Source organism: Homo sapiens, chromosome 5 (assembly GCF_000001405.40).
Source record: "Homo sapiens chromosome 5, GRCh38.p14 Primary Assembly".
NCBI classification, from domain to species: Eukaryota; Metazoa; Chordata; class Mammalia; order Primates; family Hominidae; genus Homo; species Homo sapiens.
Genome location: NC_000005.10, coordinates 80,902,634 through 80,923,041, shown reverse-complemented (window position 1 = coordinate 80,923,041; position 20,408 = coordinate 80,902,634). Strand labels below are relative to the sequence as shown.

General features: G+C 39.7%; 1 long non-coding RNA gene across 1 annotated transcript in view; it reads right to left on the bottom strand.

Moving 5' to 3' along the window:
* Positions 1–1,115: 1,115 nt before the first annotated feature.
* Positions 1,116–20,408, bottom strand: part of LOC107986428 (uncharacterized) — a 32,170-nt gene continuing 12,877 nt past the window's right edge. Inside the window, exon 2 of the long non-coding RNA XR_001742759.2 lies at positions 1,116–18,417. This is a non-coding gene — a long non-coding RNA (uncharacterized LOC107986428). The remainder of the gene's footprint in view (positions 18,418–20,408) is intronic.

The window sequence follows — 20,408 nt, the reverse complement described above, 5'->3', positions numbered from 1 at the left end:
GCAGATTGCTTTAGCCCAGGAGTTGGAGACTATCATGGGCAACATAGCAAAACTCCATCTCTACAAGAAATACAAAAATTAGCCGGGCATGGTGGCACATCTGTAGTCCTAGCTACTCAGGAGGCTGAGGTGGGAGGGTTGCTTCAGTCCAGGAGGCAGAGGTTGCAGTGAGCTGCAATCACACCACTGCACTGCCCAGCTTGGGCAACAGACCCTGTCTCAAAAAAAAAAAAAAAAAAAAGACTATTAGCTGTAAATGTTTAAGAAGACGCTCTTTATCAGTTTTAGGAAGTTCCTTTCTAATCCTAGCTTGCTGAAAGCTTTTATCATGAATGAGTGTTAAATTTTGACAAATGCTTTCTCAGTATCTACTGAGATGATCATATGGTATTTCTTCTTCAGTCTGTTAATATGGCCAAGTACATTGTTTAGTTTTCAAATGTTAAATCCACCTTTTATTTCCAGAATAAACTCCTGTTAGTTATGATGTATTATCCTTTTTACATATTACTGGATTTACTTTTGCTAATATTTTGTTGAGGATTTCCATGTCTAAAGGGTACTGCTTATTGAATATTGACCTTGTATCCAAAAACTGTACTAAAATCTCAATTCCTCTTTGATTGAGGTACAGGAATGCAAAGGCAAAATGACACATCTTTCATTCTATCACTGTTTTCCAAACCTCCGCAGGGGAGTTCTGTGTTTTGGAAGGAATCAGGTACATCTCACACTTTGGTCCTTGTTTAGCTTTTTCAATCCCTTATCCACCAGTCAGAATCTGAGGCATGGAGGGGGCAGTTAATTGGCACCTCAGGCCTCCAACAGGCCTGGCACTGTCAGATTAAGCATGCTGTGCTTTCTGCTACACCTTCTCCATGACACATGCATCTTTTCTCAAGGCTCGGGCCAGGCACCACCTTTGGTAAATAACTTCCCTGAATTTGTCCCCTGTTCCCAGCCCCAGTTTTGATTTAAGCGCACCTCCCGTGTTCCCCTATGCTTTGCATGTATCGCTGCACGGTGCAGGTAATAGATGATATCTATTACTATTGTTACGAACTGCAGACAAGATAGTGTGGTAATTAAAAACATGGACACAGAGTCAGAGTGTGTGGGTTTAAATCCTGGCTTTATTTCTAACAAGGTACGTAACAAAGAAAGTTTCTTAAATTCTACGTGCCTCAGCTTCATCATCTATAAGGATACTAATACCTCCTTCATAAGGTTGTTGAGAGAATTCAATAAAATAATTTATGTATAGCAGTTAGAATTATGTACTTTGTATATAGTAATTGCTCAATAAATATTAGCTATTATTATTTTCTTTATTTCACTTTTTAATTTTTATTTTAGGCTCAGGGGTACATGTGCAGGTTTGTTAATACAGGCAAACTCATGTCACAGGAGTCTGAGGTACAGAGCATTTTGTCACCTGGGTACTAAGCATAGTACTCAACAATTATTTTTTTTCTCATCCTCTCCCTCTTCCCACCCTCCTCCCTCAAGAGGGCCATATCATTATTTTCATTTTTAAAAATTTCTAGTTTATCCAGGGAGTAGTAAGCTTCTTAAGGGCAGACAGTATCATCTCATTTCTTTGTCATTCTCCAGAACTAGTAAGGGTGTCTGGCACACAATAGGTGCTCAATAAATGTTGTTTTTGAATATAGGTAGAACCAAAACAGCCTTAGGGGCTGAGCTAAAAAAAACACCAAACTTTAGTCTGTCACCAAATATGTAGGGTTCTCTTCACTTCTCTCCAGAGTCCACAAATCCTTTGGGACTATCCATGGTGCTGACCTCTGGCCAATTGGCTTACCTGGCCAGAGCCTGACCAACAATTTGGGCCACTTGCCAATCTGACTTAACACCTCTGCCATGCCCCCAGTTGGATGGACCATATTGTTGCCTCAGTGTAGTTCACAACTAAGGCTTTTCAGTAATCCTCCCTACCTGACCTCCTAAATCTGCCAGAGGACCCTTTCCTAAACCTTGCCCTGTTCAACTTGCTTCTCATGACGCTGACCACAAAAGGAGCTAACTCTCTTCTCTACTTCGCCTCTCTTTCCTTCTCTAATGCCTTTTCTGCTGTGGTTTCCCCCACTACTTTGTTGCTCTTGGGTTTTTTTTTTCCACACCTTTTCCTCTTTTCCTTCTCCCTTAAAATATCCCATTTTATGTCCACTATATTATTGATAACTCCTCCTGCCCCCCCTCACAAAATCCCTTGGAATTAGGCATATTTTATCTAAATGCAGAAAGATAGGATGTAGAGAAGGCCTTCCATGGGAGAAGAATAAGCGACAGGCAGGCTTTTCCCAGGATAGGAGCTATACACTGGGCCTCTAACATTTATTTACCTGTTTAAAATATGTTCAATATATTTTCATTAAGACAGAGGTGAGGATGAGGGTATAGAGTAGGTATGGTGACAGAGATCAGACTAGGGGTTAAAGCCCAGGTAGGAAGTGCCCCAAGGATGAACTTTGATTACATCACTGGCTTGTGTGGGGCCAGAACTGGCTAGAAAGACAGGTTTTTGTTCCACATAAACTCTGCTGGAAGGAAGGCATCCAAAGATGAAAGGGAAAGTTATGAGGTATTTTTTATTTCCTCCATGGACTTACTTAAAAGAAATTTAGCTACATCCACACACAGATAAATATTATCAGCATCTTTGAGCAGGGCCATCTCTGAGGAAGATCAGGAGCATTTAATGTATATGGTTTCTAACATTGCTACAGCAAAATGCAATCAACAAAGCTGGTCAATGACTTAAAGTGAACTAGGTTTAGATCCATTAGTCTTAGAGCTCTTCTGACAGTTGGTGCTGGAGGTGGGCTAAGCCAGAGGGGCTAAGCCAGAGGGGCTAAGCCAGCCTCTTACCATTCACATGATGGCTCGCATTTACTAGAATGCTTCTGAAGGTAAATGAATATACATACAGCAACATATGTAATTGTTTTTGTTAATATGAGTAACCGGCAAAGGAATTTTAAGTTTTGTTTTCTTTTGTTTTGCTTTTTAAAGTTAACACTAGTTGGAGCCATGCATTTTTCTAAGAGTTTCACATCTGTTAACCCATTCAATGTCCAAAGTAACCCTATGATCTAAGTACTATTATTATACAACTTTACATATGAAGACTGGGCCCAGAGAAGTTAAGTAACTTGCCCAAAGTCACACAGCACTGCTGGGAAATGACTGTGTCATTTGAGTCCGGATTCAAACCCAGGTGTTCTGGCTCCACTCTCGGCTCTTAGTCTCTGAGCTCGTCTGGCCCTTTAAGGGAATTACGGGTGATGGGCTATCTTTCTAGGGGTGCAGGGACTGGGTACAGGTCTAACTAGGTGAATCTTTTAAATACATTTACAACAAATGTTAAGAACTCTTTAAAGTGAAAATGAGGATATATCACCAAAAGCATCTGCAACTCAAGGAGGCTAGGAATGGGGTGAGCAAGGTATTAGTTCATGAGCTCAGCTCCTGCCCTCCCTGCAGAGAGTGACACTTCTTGATTCAGTGTTTCCAGGGGCCCCAGTTACTTAGCTCTTTCCAACTCTGTCCCCTCAATAAACTAGTCAATTTATTATCACACATTATCACCTTATAATAAATGTGAAACAGCATTTTGTTGCGAAGAAATAGATAAAAATGGCAACTTCTGGACATTTCTCAAAGGATCTCTTATGATTGACTCTTGGAAACCATGGAATTTATCTGAGCAAAATCTCTGCCAAATCAGCCTTTTTCCTGTGCTTTACTTCCTATAGCTTCTAACATCCATCTTGCAAAACAGCTCCTTCCCTTTAATTGTGCTGAAATTGATTCCCCATCCCTTCTCACTCTTCTCACCTTAGGTCACAAGAAGTTGTTTTGGGGTGGACAACGTCACCCCTCAGCTTGGGTGATCACTGTCTGATCTAAGTTGTCTCTCTCCCTACTTTCTTGTCTCCTCTCCAGTGAGTCCAATATTCTAGTTACCTTCTCCATCTTGTCCTTTTGCATTCCCAGCTCAATTCATTCCTTCTCAGGAAATCTTCTCCCATCTACGTCTTTAGGAATTCCCTTCCTCCTTCACTTTTTTCTTTCTTGCCCCCATTTGCACTGGAAAATCTCTGCCACAGATATTGTTCACTCTCTCAATAAACCAATGTGCCACTCTTTGGTCTCTCTTGTTGCTGCCATATTCCACCCGGCACCTGTCACTTAGCAGACAATGAACCCTCATCTGTTCCTTTAATGAAAGGACCAAAGGAGGGTGAAGTCATGGCTGCTAAATGAAATAAAAAGTGTCTTTGATATAACTTTCTCAAACAAGAAGGAAACCACGATGTTTTTCACTTCTTAAAACTTTCTTGGCCGGGCACAGTGGCTCGTGCCTGTAATCCCAGCACTTGGGGAGGCCAAGGTGGGTAAATCACTTGAACCCAGGAGCTTGAGAGCAGCCTGGGCAACATAGGGAGACCTCGTCTCTACTAAAAAATAAGCATTAAAAAAATTCAGTAGGGCATGGTGGTGCACACCTGTAGTCCCGGTTACTCGGGAGGCTGAGGTGGGAGGATTGCTTGTACCCAGGAGATCGTGGCTACAGTGAGCCATGATCACGTCACTACACTCCAGCCTGGGTGAGAGAGCACAACTCTATCAAAAAAACAAAACAAAACAAATCAAAAGAAGTTCTTATTAAATTTACATTTATCATCTTTTACCTGATTATTTAAAAAAGTATATTGAAGAATATTTTGAAACTATGCCAAGTTGTTTACTTTTATTTTAAAGAGAAACATATATAATAAATAAAACTAGTGTCACGTCCTTCAATCATCCCTGTTGGAATGATAAGAGTATTTCTCTACATCCCTATCTAGCTAAATTTGTTTTTCCTTGACAATCACCATTCAGTAAATGTTTTTAAAAGCTTCTTTCTTATTGAGTTTTGTGACTTTTCTGGCTACTTAGGTTACCGATATTACAATATTCTGCTCTTATTCATTGCAATGCACATAATTTTAGTTATATTCTGGGTAGAACAGGCTTTTATGAACTAACCTAGAAACTTAAGTGCCCCTCTTATCCTTGTTTCCATGGGGAAATGCACTTCAAATAACCAGCTAGCATAGACTGTTAGAATACAAGCCATTTGTACAACACTGGCTGCCTGGGACATTGAAGGCCTATGGCTTTTATTTGCCACATGATACGCAGCAACAAAGCAGTTAAATGTGCTTTTCACTTCCATGTTGCCACACAGATGTTTCAAGGTTTCTGCAAGCTGATAGAAGAATGAAAATGCTCCAGCAAAAAAACCACAATAAATCAACAAGGTGAAGTAACCATTAAACTCTGTAAGAGCTTCGTGCATTCGTGCATCCAAAGAAAATTTTATGGGACAACATGCAGAAAACAGATTTTTTTTTTTTTTTTGGTAAAGCTTTTCTAATTCAAAGCATAAATCTAAGAAAGAATGCTAAGAACTCACAGGTGCTGAGTAACAACAAAACTTGACCTAGGGGCAGTCTAACTATAAAATGCAGGAAATAGAAAGTAGAGAAAGACTGCAAATATCTCATAGCCAATTACTACCTAATTTATACTAAGCAAATTAAAATAGGATAGTACAAATTAAAAACAGGAAGTTATTTAATGAAGATCAATTTGGACCATTTACAAAAAAACTGTATTAGCTTAACAGCAGCTTAACTGTTCTGAGTGGAATTTTTCAAAGCAGCCACCAGGATTAAGTAACCGTACAAGTTTTGTATATTTCTTTCTTATTAACAAGAATATGGTAGCAAAGACAATAAAAAGGGACACCAAGTATCAAAATAACATTTTTGGCAGAAGTGAAATACACGATGTAAAACAAAGATGAAAAGAAAGTAGTGCCAGAAAAATTGAGATATTTGTTATGTGTTTCCAAAAACCTGAAATCAAAGTAACACTCCTACATGGTGTCCAGAAACCACACTGCGAGGACACAAAGAAAAAAGATACCAAGAAAAATTAAAAGAAGATCACATTTCTGAGACCTTTTCTAGGGTCCACAAACACAGACATAAGAAAAAGGTTGAGTAGCAAAACATGGTTTGGGAAGTAGAAAACTAGACACAAAACAAAACAAGGAACATCTGGAAATAATAGATGATAACAGAAGGCCAACATGGAGACTATTCCAAGAAACTGAAAAAACCAAACTTCTGTTGAGCATTTAGATGCATTCCTATTTGCCCAAATCCATGATCTACCCTGAGGCATTTGCTGCTCATCTCGGTGACTGGGAGCGAGGATTGAGGATCGATGCACATAGTACTCTTTGGGGCTTAAGCCATGAGGTCCCTCTGCACTCATCTTATTGCAGCATTAGGATACAATAGGGAGAGCTCAAGACAGGGACACTGGCAGCTCTTCTGGCTTAACTTTGTTTTGCTGTTGAAATTGTACATTGGGGTTTGGTGGTAGAGATGGGGAGGGGGTGGGGCAGGGGGAAGAAACAGGACTAGGTAGCTCCTAGGACCTTATAGAGACAAAGGACCTACAATAAATGACCACAGGGAGCTGATGGTTTTGTTCAATGCATATTAAAGAGGACTTCATCAAGGTCTGAGCTGGGTTTAGAGCAGTCAAATTAAGCAAAGGCCCAAAATTCCTTTGACTCTCATTGTGGTTTTTTTAAGTAACTGGTAAATTCAAGGCCTATCTGGGGCAGTCATAAAGATGAACTCCTTGTGAAATGGGCCATGTGAACAATGCTGTGTCCATGAAGGTTTTGTCAGTTAGGATGATTTTGGCAGCAAGAAACAGAAAAATCAGACATATGGCTTAAACCATAAAGACATTAACAGTTCACTGTGAAGTCCAGGTAGGCAGTCCTGTGGGTGAGTGGATGGTTCAGTTATGTCAAGGATCCAGCTCTTTCTATCCTTGACTCCATTGCTTTCAGGGCACACTGGTGTTTATCTTCATGGTCAGAGCTCGAGCACCACATTCTTCTATTATGGCTTTTAAAGCTGAAAGTGATGGGAAGAGGACAAAAAAGGCTTTCTGACTTTGCATGCTGCTCTTATCAGAAAAGAAAGATACTCCTGAAATCTTAGGCAGATTCTCCTTAAGGCTCATTGTTCAGAACTGACTCATATGCTAACCCCTAGGCCAATGACTTTCAAGGGAGAACTGAGTTGCTGTGATTGGCTTAGAATAATTGAACTGTAGTTGGACACATGCTGGGGTTGGGCATATTGCAGCTGGAATGAAGTTGGGATTCTGTTGTCAAGAAGATGAAACTGAGTAAATTTGGATTTTGGGAAAGGGTAAATAGGTACATAAGAAGCCTAAGCAAACTGTTATACAAATTATATAAATGTTTATGATGCTGCTGTTATTTGGATGGAAAATGCAACAGTCAGGATAAGCTAAAGTAATGATGCAGGAACAAACAACCCCAAATAAACAGAGGTTTATTTCCGGCTCACATCATACGCCTATTATGGGTCAGCTGCAAATCTGCTCCACACATAGACCCAGACTCATAGAGCAGGTCTTATTTTGGCTGTAGCTGGTCTTATAGTAGAGGAATAAAAGATGCAGCAAACCAGGTGCTTGTTCTTAATGTTTCTCCTCCAAAGTGACATATGTCACTTTTCCTCACAATGCTCTAGGCATAGAGCAAGCAAATTGAGTGTGCTAGACCTTAACAGCCAGGTAAGTTATCATCTTTCTGCAGGAAGGTGAACTCAGGGAGGGGCAACAAATATTTCAAATGATAATGCAACCTACCAAAAAGATGGATGTGTCATTTAGCCTTCATTCTCTTAAATACGGTCATGAACATTTGTGACTCAGTATTAAGCTTTTTTTTTTTTTTTTTTTTTTTGAGATGGAGTCTTGCTCTGTTGCCTAGGCTGGAGTGCAGCAGCACGATCATGGCTCACTGCAACCTCTACCTCCTGGGTTCAAGCGATTCTCCTGCCTCAGCCTCCCAAGTGGCTGGGATTACAGGCAAAACCCTGTCTCTACTAAAAATACAAAAATTAGCATTAAGCTTTATGACAGCAGTCTTGCTTCAGTTTTTCTGTTGCCATTAAAAGCACAGCAGGCAGACCTTGCCATTTATCCTATGATGATATGCTGCCTGAAGAACAAAGTCAGCGTACAACGTTTATTATTTTCCTCTTTGTTAAATATTTTTGATAGAATAAACAATATAACAATATTAAAACGATTTGAAATGGCCATTAAAAAATACCATTTCCTGGGATACATCTCTCTTTTCTTTCCTCGGCTTTAAGCCCTTCTGAATGCAGGAAGGACTTTATCCTCTCAACATCTCATATTCTGTTTTTCATCTAGAGTTAGGCTGGCTCAAGGGAGAGCTCTCACACAACCACAATAGCCTAACCTGCACAGTTCACATATGTCCTAGTTGGAAAAAGCATAGAGTTCTATTGTTGAGAAGCTAGTTTAAACTGTGGGCAAACCCTATACCTTCTAAAGCTCTATTGTAGTCCTCCCAGGACACAGCCTGATCATGTCCTTGCAAAGCAGCCCTCTTCCAGAGCATTCTTTCTTGTATCCTCAGGATGAGAATCGGGGCAATTATGTAACGATCAGTGACCTCCCTGTAATAATTAAGGGAGGAAATATTGCTTTTCCTGTTGCCTAGGGCTTTGCAGAAGCATTCAAAGCAAGCTTTTTGCTCTTATAGCATAGTTTAACTTACTCTGTGATTAACAAAATTCCATGGCAACATATTATACAGAAATCATATATGACTTATTTGAAATAGTTAATGGATTAACTTTTTTGATGTTTAAAGAACTCAAAATGAGCAAAATGAGGAGTACATAAAGATATTTTTCCTGCATTTCTAAATCAAGACCTGTGAATAAGCAATATTATGTAATCTATTAACTTTCTAAAATTGTGATAAAATATACATAATATTAAATTTACCATTTAACTATTTTTAAATGTTAGGTCCGTGGCATTCAGTAAGTTCACATTGTTGTGCAACTATCAGCACTATCCACCTTCAGAACTTTTCATCATCTGAAACAGAAGTTCTGTGCCCATTAAACACTAACTGCCCATTTTCCCCACTCCCCCAACCACCGTCCTACTTTCTATCTCTATGAATTTGACTACTGTAGGTATCTCAGATAAGGAATCATATGGCATTTGTCTTTAGTGACTGACTTGTTTCACTTAGCGTAATGTCTTTAAGGTTCATCCATGTTGTAGCATGTGTCAGAATTTCCTTACTTTTTAACTCTATTAACTGTTTTTGTTTTATTTATTTATTTATTCATTTTAGAGACAAGGTCTCACCTGGTTGCCCAGGCTGGAGTGCAGTGGCTCTATCATAGCACACTGTAGCCTTGAACTTCTGGGCTCAAGGAATCCTCCCACCTCAGCCTCCCAAGTAGCTGGGACTACAGGCAGGCACCACCATGTCCAGATAACTTTAAAATTTTTTGTAGAGAAAGAGTCTCATTACATTGCCTAGGTTTGTCTCAAACTCCCTCCTAGTCTCAAGAGATCGTCCCACCTCAGACTCCCAAAGCACTGGGATTACAGGAGTGAGCCATGACACCTGGCCTAAGTCTACTAACTGTTAAACTGACATAGATGATAATGTGTTAAGAAGCATCTGTTTTTTTAAAAAAATATTTTTCTTTTAAATTTACATACAGGCAGATTCACTTTTTTCAACGTATAGTTCTATGTGTTTCAATGTATGCATAGGTTTGTGTAATCATAATCATGGTACAGAATCCAAAAAAGTTCCCTCATTATATCCTCTCCCCAACTCTAACCCTGGGCTAACCACTAATCAGTTCTTCCTCCCTTTTGCCTTTTCCAGAATGTCACATAAATGGAATCAATACATGTAAATATGTACCTATGTCATTAAGTGTATCCATAGTTTGTTCCTTTTTGGCCGGGTGTGGTGGTTCATGTCTGTAATCCCAGCACTTTGGGAGGCTGAGGCAGGTGGATCACCTGAGGTCAGGAGTTTGAGACCAGCCCGGCCAACATGATGAACGAAACCCCATCTCTACAAAAATACAAAAATTAGCCAGGTGTGGTGGCACGCACCTGTAATCCCAGCTACTAGAAAGCCAGAGGCAAGAGAATCACTTGAACTCGAGAGGTAGAGGTTGAGGTTGCAGTGAGCCGAGATAGTGTCACTGCACTCCAGCCTGGGCGACACAATGAGACTCCATCTCAAAAAACAAACAAACAAAAAAGTTTGTTCCTTTTCGTTGCTGAAAAGTATACCACTGTATGGAGGTACCAGAGTTTGTTTATCCAGTCAACAATTGAAAGGCATTTGGATTGTTTCCAGTTATGGATCATTATGAATAAGCTTCTATAAACATTCATGTACAGGTTTCTGTGTGAATATCTCTAGGGTAAATAGCTAGGAGTGGGACTGCTAAATCACATGGAAACTGTATGTTTAATAGCAGCCACCAAATGGTTTTCCAAAGTGGCTGTACCATTTTGCACTTCCACCAGTGATTATGAGTTCCAGTTGCTCCATATCATCTCCAGGACTCCAGTACTGTCAGCTGTGTGTGTCGAGCCATTCTAATAAGTGTGCAGATGTATCTCATGGTTTTCTTTTGCACTCCTCTAATAAATGATGGTGTACATCTCTTCATCTTTTCATGTGATTTTTTTTGTCATTCATATATCTTCCTTCATGAAGTGTCTGTACACATCTGCTGCCCATTCTTTATTCAGTTTTCCCTTATTGCTAAGTTTTAAGAGTTCTTTATATATTGTGGCTATAAGCCCTTTGTTAGATATGTGATTTGCAAGTATTTTTTTCCAAGTCATCTTTCCATTCCCTTAACAGTGTATTTTGCAGATGACAAGTTTATTTTTATGAAGACCCACTTATCCATTTAAAAATTTCATTATATTTAGTGTCATATCTAAAAATTATTTGCCTAACCCAAGGTCATAATTTCTCCTAGTAATTTTATAGTTTTACATTGTACATGTAGGTCTACAGTTCATTTTGAGTGAATTTTTGTACAAGAAGTGAGGTATACCTGAGGTTTTTACATGTGGTTGCCGGGTTGTTCTAACTAATCTTTTGTTGAAGAGACTATCCTTTCTCCTAAAAATTACCTTTTCTCCTTTGTGAAAAGTCAGTTGACCATAGGCTGGGCGTGGTGGCTCATGCCTATAATCCTAGCACTTTGGGAGGCTGAGGCAGGAGGATTGTTTGAGGCCTAGAGTTCGAGACCACCTTGGGCAACAAAGCAAGATCCCCATCTCTACAAGAAACAAAACAAATTAGGGCTGGGCACAGTGGCACACACCTGTAATTCAAACACTCTGGGAGGCCAGGGCAGGCAAATCACTTGAGGCTAGGAGTTCGAGACCAGCCTGTACAACATGGTGAAATCCCATCTCTACTAAAAATACAAAAAATTAGCCAGGTGTGGTGGTGCACTCCTGTAATCCCAGCTACTTAGGAGGCTGAGGCATGACAATCGCTTGAGCCCAGGAGGCAGAGGTTGCAGTGAGCCAAGACTGCATCACTGCACTTCAGCCTGGGCAACGAAGTGAGACCTTGTCTCAAAATAAAAATAAATTAGCCCAGGGCAGTAGCACATGCCTGTAGTCCCAACTACTCAGGAGGCTGAGGCAAGAAAGATGGCTTGAGCCCAGGAGTTCGAGGCTGCAGTGAACCATGATCACAACAGTGCACTCCAGTCTAGGTGACACAGTGAGAAGATCCTGTCTCTAAACAAACAACAACAACAACAACAAAACAATTGACTGTATTTGTGAGGGTTTAATTCTGGACTCTTTTTCACCAATCTACGTGGTTACCGTCTTGTGTCACACCATCTTGTGTCACAGTATCTCAATTCTTGTACCTTTACAGTAAATCTTAAAATCAAGTAAGATGAGTCTTCCAATTTTTTGTTTCAAAGCTACTTTGCCTTTTCATCTAAATTTTACAACAATCTTGTCTATATCTACAAAAGGTCTTGCTTGGGAGTTGACTTAGAATTCACTAATACTATAGATATACTAGGGAGATTTGAAATCATAACTAGGGATGAGTCTTCTAATCCATGAACAGTATTTCTTCATTTATTCAGATCTTCGATTTTTTAAATCAGTGTTTCTAGTTTTTAGCATATAGATTCCACAGATATCTTATTAGACTTAAACCGAAGTATTTTATTTTGGGGCAACTATTATAAATAGTACTTCGTTTAAAATGTTGATGTTGACATTTAAAAAAACTTGAATGGGGTATGAGGATTATATGGTAGTTATGTATCCCGTTTAGCTTCCTGATTCTGAGAGCTCAATTATAGTTAACATGAAATGTCCTTGTTTGTGGGAAACACAAACTCAAGCACTCCACACTGAAGACGCTCGGGTCAGTAAATTACTCTCAAACAGCTGGGCAGGGGTAGTTCTTTGTACTATACTTGCAAATCTTCACTAAGTCTCAGAATGTTAGAAAACTGTGTAAGCAATATTACATTGAAAATACAAAGCTGAATAAGGGACAAAGAATGTACACTCTGAAGAAGTTAAACATGAGATCTATATGATCCAGAGAGTGAGGGAGTGCTTTGCTATACAATTCCAGGGGCTGGAAAGACCAAGAAGTGGGCAGAACAAGATAGACTAGAAACTCTTAAGCAACCCATTTAACCAACTACCCCGATTAACAGATATATATTCCAATTCCCTGAGTTAAGCAGTCAACTACCCAATTACCCCCAACTGCCACAATGACTGAAGTCCCCCATATGCTAACTGCTTGCTGCTGTACACTGCTCTCTAGCAGAGCTGAGAGCTACATCAGTTGAGTTATATGTTTTATATATTTGTCAAGGACCAACTGTGTTTGGTCTTAACTCTGCTTGTATTTGTTACTGTAAGTACAGTTTAAATAAAAACTGTGATATTAAAATAAAAAAATGACGTTGAATTGCTCATTGCTAACATATAGCAATGTGATTTTTATATGTTAATCATGCATTCTATATTTTAACTGTGCTAATTAGTTCTAGCAGTTTTTTTGCAGATTCCTTCAAATCTTCTACATAAACACTCACATTGTTTGTGAATAGAGAAAGTTCTGTTTTATTTTCTCCAATCTGTATGCCTCTTACTTCTGTTTCTTGCCTCATCACAGTGGCCAGGACTTTTAGCACGATGTTAAACAGAAATGCTAAGAACATTTTTGCCTTTTTCCCAATCTTAGGCAAATTAATCAGCCCTTCACCATTAAGAATGATGTTAGCGGCTAGGCGCGGTGGCTCATGCCTGTAATCCCAGCACTTTGGGAGGCCAAGGTGGGCAGATCACCTGAGGTCAGGAGTTCAAGACTAGCCTGACCAACATGGAGAAACCCTGTCTCTACTAAAAATACAAAATTAACCAGGCATGGTGGCGCATGTCTGTAATCCCAGCTACTCAGGAGGCTGAGGCAGGAAAATCGCTTGAAGCCGGAAGGCGGAGGTTGCGGTGAGCTGAGATCGCACCATTGCATTCCAGCCTGGGCAGTAAGAGTGAAACTCCATCTCAAAAAAGAAAAAAAAGAATTATGTTAGCTGCCAAGTTTTTTTTATAGTTCAATTTATTAAATTAAGGAAGTTCTCTTGTATTCATATTCCATTGAGTTTTATCAATAAAGAATGTAGAGGTTGGGCACAATGGCTCATGCCTGTGATCCCAGAACTTTGGGAGGCTGAAGCGGGAGGATTGCTTGAGCCCAGGAGTTCAAGATCAACCTGGGCAACACAGTGAGACCCTGTCTCTATAAACAGTTATAAAATTGGCCAAACATGGTGGTGGGCACTTGTAGTCCTAGCTACTTAGGAGGCTGAGGCAGGGCTGCTTGAGCCCAGGAGGTCCAGGCTGCAGTGAGCCGTGATTGCCACCACTGCACTCCAGACTGAGCTACAGTGAGACCCTGTCTTAAAAAAATAAATAAAAAGAATGGATGTTGAATTGTGTCAAATGGGTTTTCTGCATCTATTCATAAAATCATGTTTCTATGCTTCAATCTGTTAATATGGTGGACTACATTGATTTTCAAATGTGGGAACAACCTTGCATTCCTGAAAGAAAATTTTATTTATATATTGCTGTATTCAATTTGTCAATATCTTGTTGGGGATTTTTGCGTCTGTGTTCAAGATATTGATCTTATTTTTGAAATATCTTTCTCTAGTAATGTTAGGGTAATGCTGGCTCTTAAAATGAGTTGCAAATTATTTCTTTCTCCTCTATTTTCTGTAAGAGATTGTATAGAATTGGTCTTATTTATTCCTTAAATCTGAGCCTGGAATTTTCTTTTTTGGCTAATGGTTTTCCAGCCTTCTACATTCTTGCTGATTTTCTGTCTACTTGCTTTATTGATTACTGAGAGGAAAACTGAAATTCCCATCTATAATTGCAGAATTATCTATTTCTCCTATTTTATTAGTTTTTGTTTTATGTACAGTATTTTGACACTCTGTTGTTAGCTGCATACATACAGAATTATTATGTCTTGAGTGACCACTTTATTAGTATGCAATTTACCTCTACAAACTTGTTAATTTTCCTTGTTCTGAAGTCTATTTTATCTGATTAATATACCCATTCCAGCTTCCTTTTGATTAGTCATTACATGGTGTATCTTTTCTTTTTTGAGATGGAGTCTCACTCTGTGACCCAGGCTGGAGTGCAGTTGCAGGATCTTGGCTAGTGAGCCTCCTGGGTTCAAGCAATTTTCCTGCCTCAGCCTCTCATGGAGGCACCCTCCACCACACCTGGCTTTTTTTTTTTTTTTAGTAGAGACAGGGTTTCACCATGTTGGCCAGGCCAGTCTCGAACTCCTGACCTCAGGTGATCTGCCCGCCTCAGCCTCTCAAAGTGCTGGGATTACAGGCATGAGCCACTGTGCTCAGCCAATCTTTACATGGTATATCTTTCTCCATCCTTTTACTTTTTACATACTTACGTCATTTAAAGTGGACTTCTAATATATAGCATATAGTTGGGTCTTGTATTCTTAACCAAAATGACAAACTGGCTTTTAAATGGTGTTTCTAGAACATTTACCTTTAATGTAACTGTTAATATAGTTGGATCTATCATTCTATTATTTGTTTTCTGTTTTTCTCCTTTTTTTCTTCATTCCTTTTTCTCCTTTTCTGAATTTTTTTTTTTTTTTTGAGAGAGGGAATTGCTCTGTTGCTCATGCTGGAGTGCAGTGGTATGATCTCTGTTCACTGCAACCTCTGATTCCCAGGCTCAAGCAATCCTCCTGCCTCAGCCTCCTGGGTGGCTGGGACTACATGCACACATCACCATGTCTGGCTAATTTTTTAATATTTTGTTTTGGAGAGATGGGGTCTTTCCATGTTGCCCAGGCTGCTAAGTCCTGGGCTCAAAGAATCTGCCTGCCTTGGCCTCTCAAACTGTTGGGATTACAGACATGAACAACCGTGCCTGGCTCTTTCCTGGATTCTTTTGAATTATTTGAATATCTTTTGGTTTTCTATCTCTTGGCTTTAAAAATAACTGTATATATTTTTTGTTTTGTTTTTGTATTTGAGACAGTCTCGCTCCGTCACCAGGCTGGAGTGCAAAGGCATGATCTTGGCTCATTGCAACCTCTGCCTCCTGGGTTCAAGCAGTTTTCTTGCCTCAGCCTCCTGAGTAGCTGGGACTACAGGCACGCACCACCACCTCCAGCTAATTTTTGTATTTTTAGTAGAGATGGGGTTTCACCATGTTGGCCAGGATGGTCTCGATCTCTTGACTCATGATCCACCTGCCTTGGCCTCCCAAAGTGCTAGGATTACAGGTGTGAGCCACTGCGCCTGGCCAAAAATAACTATATACTTTTAATAATATTCTTAATGATTAAGGATTCCAATATATGTATTTAACTTTTAAAACCAGCTAAGAATATTTTATCATTTCAAATAAAATGTGGGGAACTTTCAACAATACAGGTCCTTTTACATTCCACCCTTTATGTTGCAGTTGTCATGTGTATTATTATCTACATACACCAAAAATCCCACCATCAATGTTACAGTGTTTGCTTGCACCCATTATACATATTTTAAAGAAATTATGAAGAGTAAAAAGTATATTTATCCATATATTTACTGTTTCTGTTGCTCTTCTTTCATTCCTGAAGTTTTGAGTTTCCTTCTGGTATTACTTCCTTTCCACCTGAAGAATTCCCTTTAGCATTTCTTTTAGTGCAGCTGCATTATTTTCCCTTCTTCTGGGAAGGAATTATTTTGCCTGCATTCCTGAGGAAAATTTTACAGAATATAGAATTTTGGGTTGACACTTCTTTACTTTCAGCATCAAAAAAATGTTCTACTGCTTTCTGACCGCCATGATTTCTGATGAGAAATCCAGTCATTTTAGTCATTTCGCCTTTATATATGTAATGTGTCATTTTTCTTTTTCAATTTTTTTTTTTAAGGCAGTGTCTCACTCTGTCGCCCAGGCTGTAGTGCAGTGGCACAATCTCGGCTCACTGCAACCTCCACCTCCCAGGCTCAAGCAATTCTCCCACCTCAGCCTCCTAGGTAGCTAGGACTACAGGTGTGCACCACCATGCCTGGCTAATTTTTGTATTTTTTTTTTTTTTTAGAGATGGGGGCTTTGCCATAGGCTGGTCTTGAACTCCTGGGCTCAAGCAATTTGCCCGCCTTGGCCTCCCAAAGTACTGGAATTACAGGCATGAGTCATCACACCTGCCCACATTTTAAAATTTTTCAGCAATTAAAAATCTTTAATTTTCAGCAAGTAAATTTGGATGCATCTCAATGTAGTTTTTTTGTTGTTGTTGTTGATTTTAGTGTATCTTGTTTGGGGGGTTTCCTGAACTTCCTGAATCTTTACATTCATGTCTTTTGCCAAATTTTAAAGTTTCTATCCTTTATTTTTTTCAATATTCATCTGCAGCAGTATCTTCCTCCTGATCTGGGACACCAAAGACATAAATGTTAATCTTTCTGATATTGTCCCACAGGTATGCAAGTCTGTTATTTTTTTCAATCTTTTTTCCTCTCTGTTTCAAATGGGATAATATATCTTGATCTTGACCTTTTAAGATCACTATTTTATCATTTCCATTCGGCAAATGAGTCCATCCAGCAAAGGTTTTAATTTCAATTATGTAGTTTTCAGTTTGTACATAACCGCTTTGTCCTTCCTTCCTGCCTTCTTTCCCTTCCTTCACTGTGAAACATAATTTAGTTTTACTTAGAACTATATTATGAACATCTTTCTAGGTAAGTACATACCAATTTAGTTTTATTCTGGTAAAATACATGTAACATAAAATTTACCATCTTAACCATTTTTGGTATACAGTTCAGTAGTGTTAAGTACATTCACATTGTTGCGCAAGCAGTCTCTAGAGCTCTTCTTGCCTTGCAAAACTGATACTCCATATCCATTCAACAACTCTCCATTCCCCACTCCCCATGGCACTTTCTTGTAGCTTCTATTTTTCTGCAGATAATTTTTCTTTCATTTCAAGAGTGTTCTCTCTTCTTACTGCTCTCTTATTGCTATTATGTACTTTTCAGACTCCTAGTTGTGTTTTCTTTCAAGGGTTTTTGGTTGTAATCTTTGGGAAAGATAAAGTGATATGTGCTGCTTACTCCATCTGAACTGGAAATTAAAGTCTGAACTCCTTTTTTAATTAATCAATCAATTAATTAATTTTTTTGAGACAGGGTCTCACTGTGTTGCCCAGGCTGGAGTGCAGTAGCATGATCAAGGATCACTGCAGCCTTGACACCCTGGGCTCAAGTGATCCTTCCACCTCAGACCTGTGAGTAGCTATACCTGGAACTTGGCTGTAATAGCTGCTTTGAAGTCACTGTCTGATAGGTTTAACATCTGAATCATTTTGGGACTGGCTTGTTTCTTGCAAGTTGGTGAGATTTTCCTGGTTCCTTATATGTTGAGCAATTTTAGATTATTCCTGAATGTTACATATATTTTACAAGTCTCTGAGTCTTGTTAAAGTCCTTTGGTGAATGTTTACTTTGTTGTTTTAGCTGCCAATTAACCTGGTTGGTTCAGATCATAAGTTTGGACATACCTTTAGTAAGCTGTGGCTTTAGTGTCACTTCAGTTTCCAAAGGTTTTGCAGTGCTACTTGGATCTGCCTCACATGTGCATCACCCAGGTGGTCATTCTGGTGGTAGTCTACACCACAGCCAGTTCTCAGAGCCTTTGGTATATTGCTTTGGGTCAGCTCCATGCATGAGCAGCTGGGGGTGGAGCCAAGGACTTTATACACAGCTTTTTAGGAACTTTTCCTTGAGCTTCCTCTTTTCTGTGATTTCCCCCATACTCTCCTGCTGCCAAGAGCCTCTTTTTCTGCTTGTGTGGCTAGAAAAGTAGAAATTCAAAGTTTTATCCCCCTTGCATTGTAGTCCACTTTTCATGACTGAGTCCACGTCTAGTGTAAAGTGTTGAAAGAACAGAGAGCAACAACAATAACGGAAATAACAGGGCCCCATTTATGAGTTCTTATGGTCAGAGAGAATTTCTCCTTCAGAGTTTTAGGTGCCCGTGTATCTCCTGCTGCTGCTGTTGCCACCACTATCTCTGCCACTGCAGGAGGGAAGTTGCAGGACTGTGGTTTGACTTGGGGAAGGGCTGGGAGAGGAAAAATCCCAGAGGATTTCTCCAACTATATCCACCTCACAGGAAGTCTCCCTTCCTAGTCCTGTAACAAGAAGGTTTCTCTTAGAGCTTTTTCTGTCCACACCCACTGTGCACTAGACATTTTAGTCTATAGGCCAGGAGATACAGGAGGAAGGAGAAACACACAAAAACCCAGGACCTCACCTCTGTATGGATTATCCCTCAGTCTTTACTTCCCTCCCCAGTCTGCCTGTTATTTACTTTTCAGACTCCTAATTGTTTTATGTTTTCTTTCAAGGGTTTTTGGTTGTAATCATTGGGAAAGGTAAAGTGGTATGTGCTGCTTACTCCATTTGAACTGGAAATTAAAGTCTCAACTGTCTTTTTAATTAATTAATTAATTTTATTTTTGAGACAGGGTCTCGCTCTGTGATCCAGGCTGGAGTGCAGTGGCACGATCAAGGATCACTGCAGCCTTGACCTCCTGGGGTCAAGCGATCCTTCCATCTCAGAGTAGCTGGGACCTAAAAGTACACACCCTCATACCTGGCTAATTTATTTTTTGTAGAGACAGAGTCTCACTATGTTGCCCAGGATCGTCTCAGACAGACTCCTGGGGTGAAGTGATCCTCTTGCCTCAGCCTTCCAAAGCGGTGTGATCACAGGCATGAGCCACCACACCCAGCTTATTTTATTTTTTAAGCTACTTGATACTATTCCTGAATCAGAGAAACAAAGTTGTTGGGAAGTAAGTATGAAAGTAATAAGATACTTTATCATTTCTTACTACTATTGATAGTAATATTATAAGTGATATTAGATATTGTTAAAATAATTATCAATACAACAGAGCACAGACAAATCCATTATGACCCATACAGGTTGTGAGCTCCTAAGACACAGCTAAGATTTCCTCATCATTGACTTTTCTTCTTTGTTTCTGGTCATCAGTGTTGCGGGAAGTCAGGGACCCTGAACGGAGGGACCTGCTGAAACCACGGCAGAAGAACATAAATTGTGAAGATTTCATGGACATTTGTTAGTTCCCCAAATTAATACTTTTATAATTTCTTATGCCTGTCTTTACTGCAGTCTCTGAACATAAATTGTGAAGATTTCATGAACATTTATCACTTCCCCAATCAATACTCTTATAATTTCCTATGCCTGTCTTTACTTTAATCTTTTAATTCCGTCATCTCCGTAAGCTGAGGATGTATATCGCCTCAGGACCCTGTGATGATTGCGTTATCTGCACAAATTGTTTGTAAAACATGTGTGTTTGAACAATATGAAATCTGAGCACCTTGAAAAGAACAGGATAACAGTGATTTTCAGGGAATAAGGGAGATAACCATAAAGTCTGACTGCCTGTGGGGCCTGGCAGAACAGAGTCATATTTCTCTTCTTTCAGAAAGCGAATAGGAGAAATGTCGCTGAATTCTTTTCTCAGCAAGGAATAACCCTGGGAAAACGAATGCATTCCCAGGGGTAGGTCTCTAAAATGGCTGCTCTGGGAGTGTCTGTCTTATGCAGTTGTAGACATGGGATGAAATATGCCCTGGCCTCCTGCAGCACCCCCAGGCTTGCTAGGATTAGGAAATTCCAGCCTGGTTGTCTGCTCACAAACCCTGTTTCCTCTTAAGATGTTTATCAATGACAATGTGTGCCCAGCAGGACATGGACCTTCATCAGTAATTCTAGTTTCACCCTGGCCTTGTGATCTCACTCTG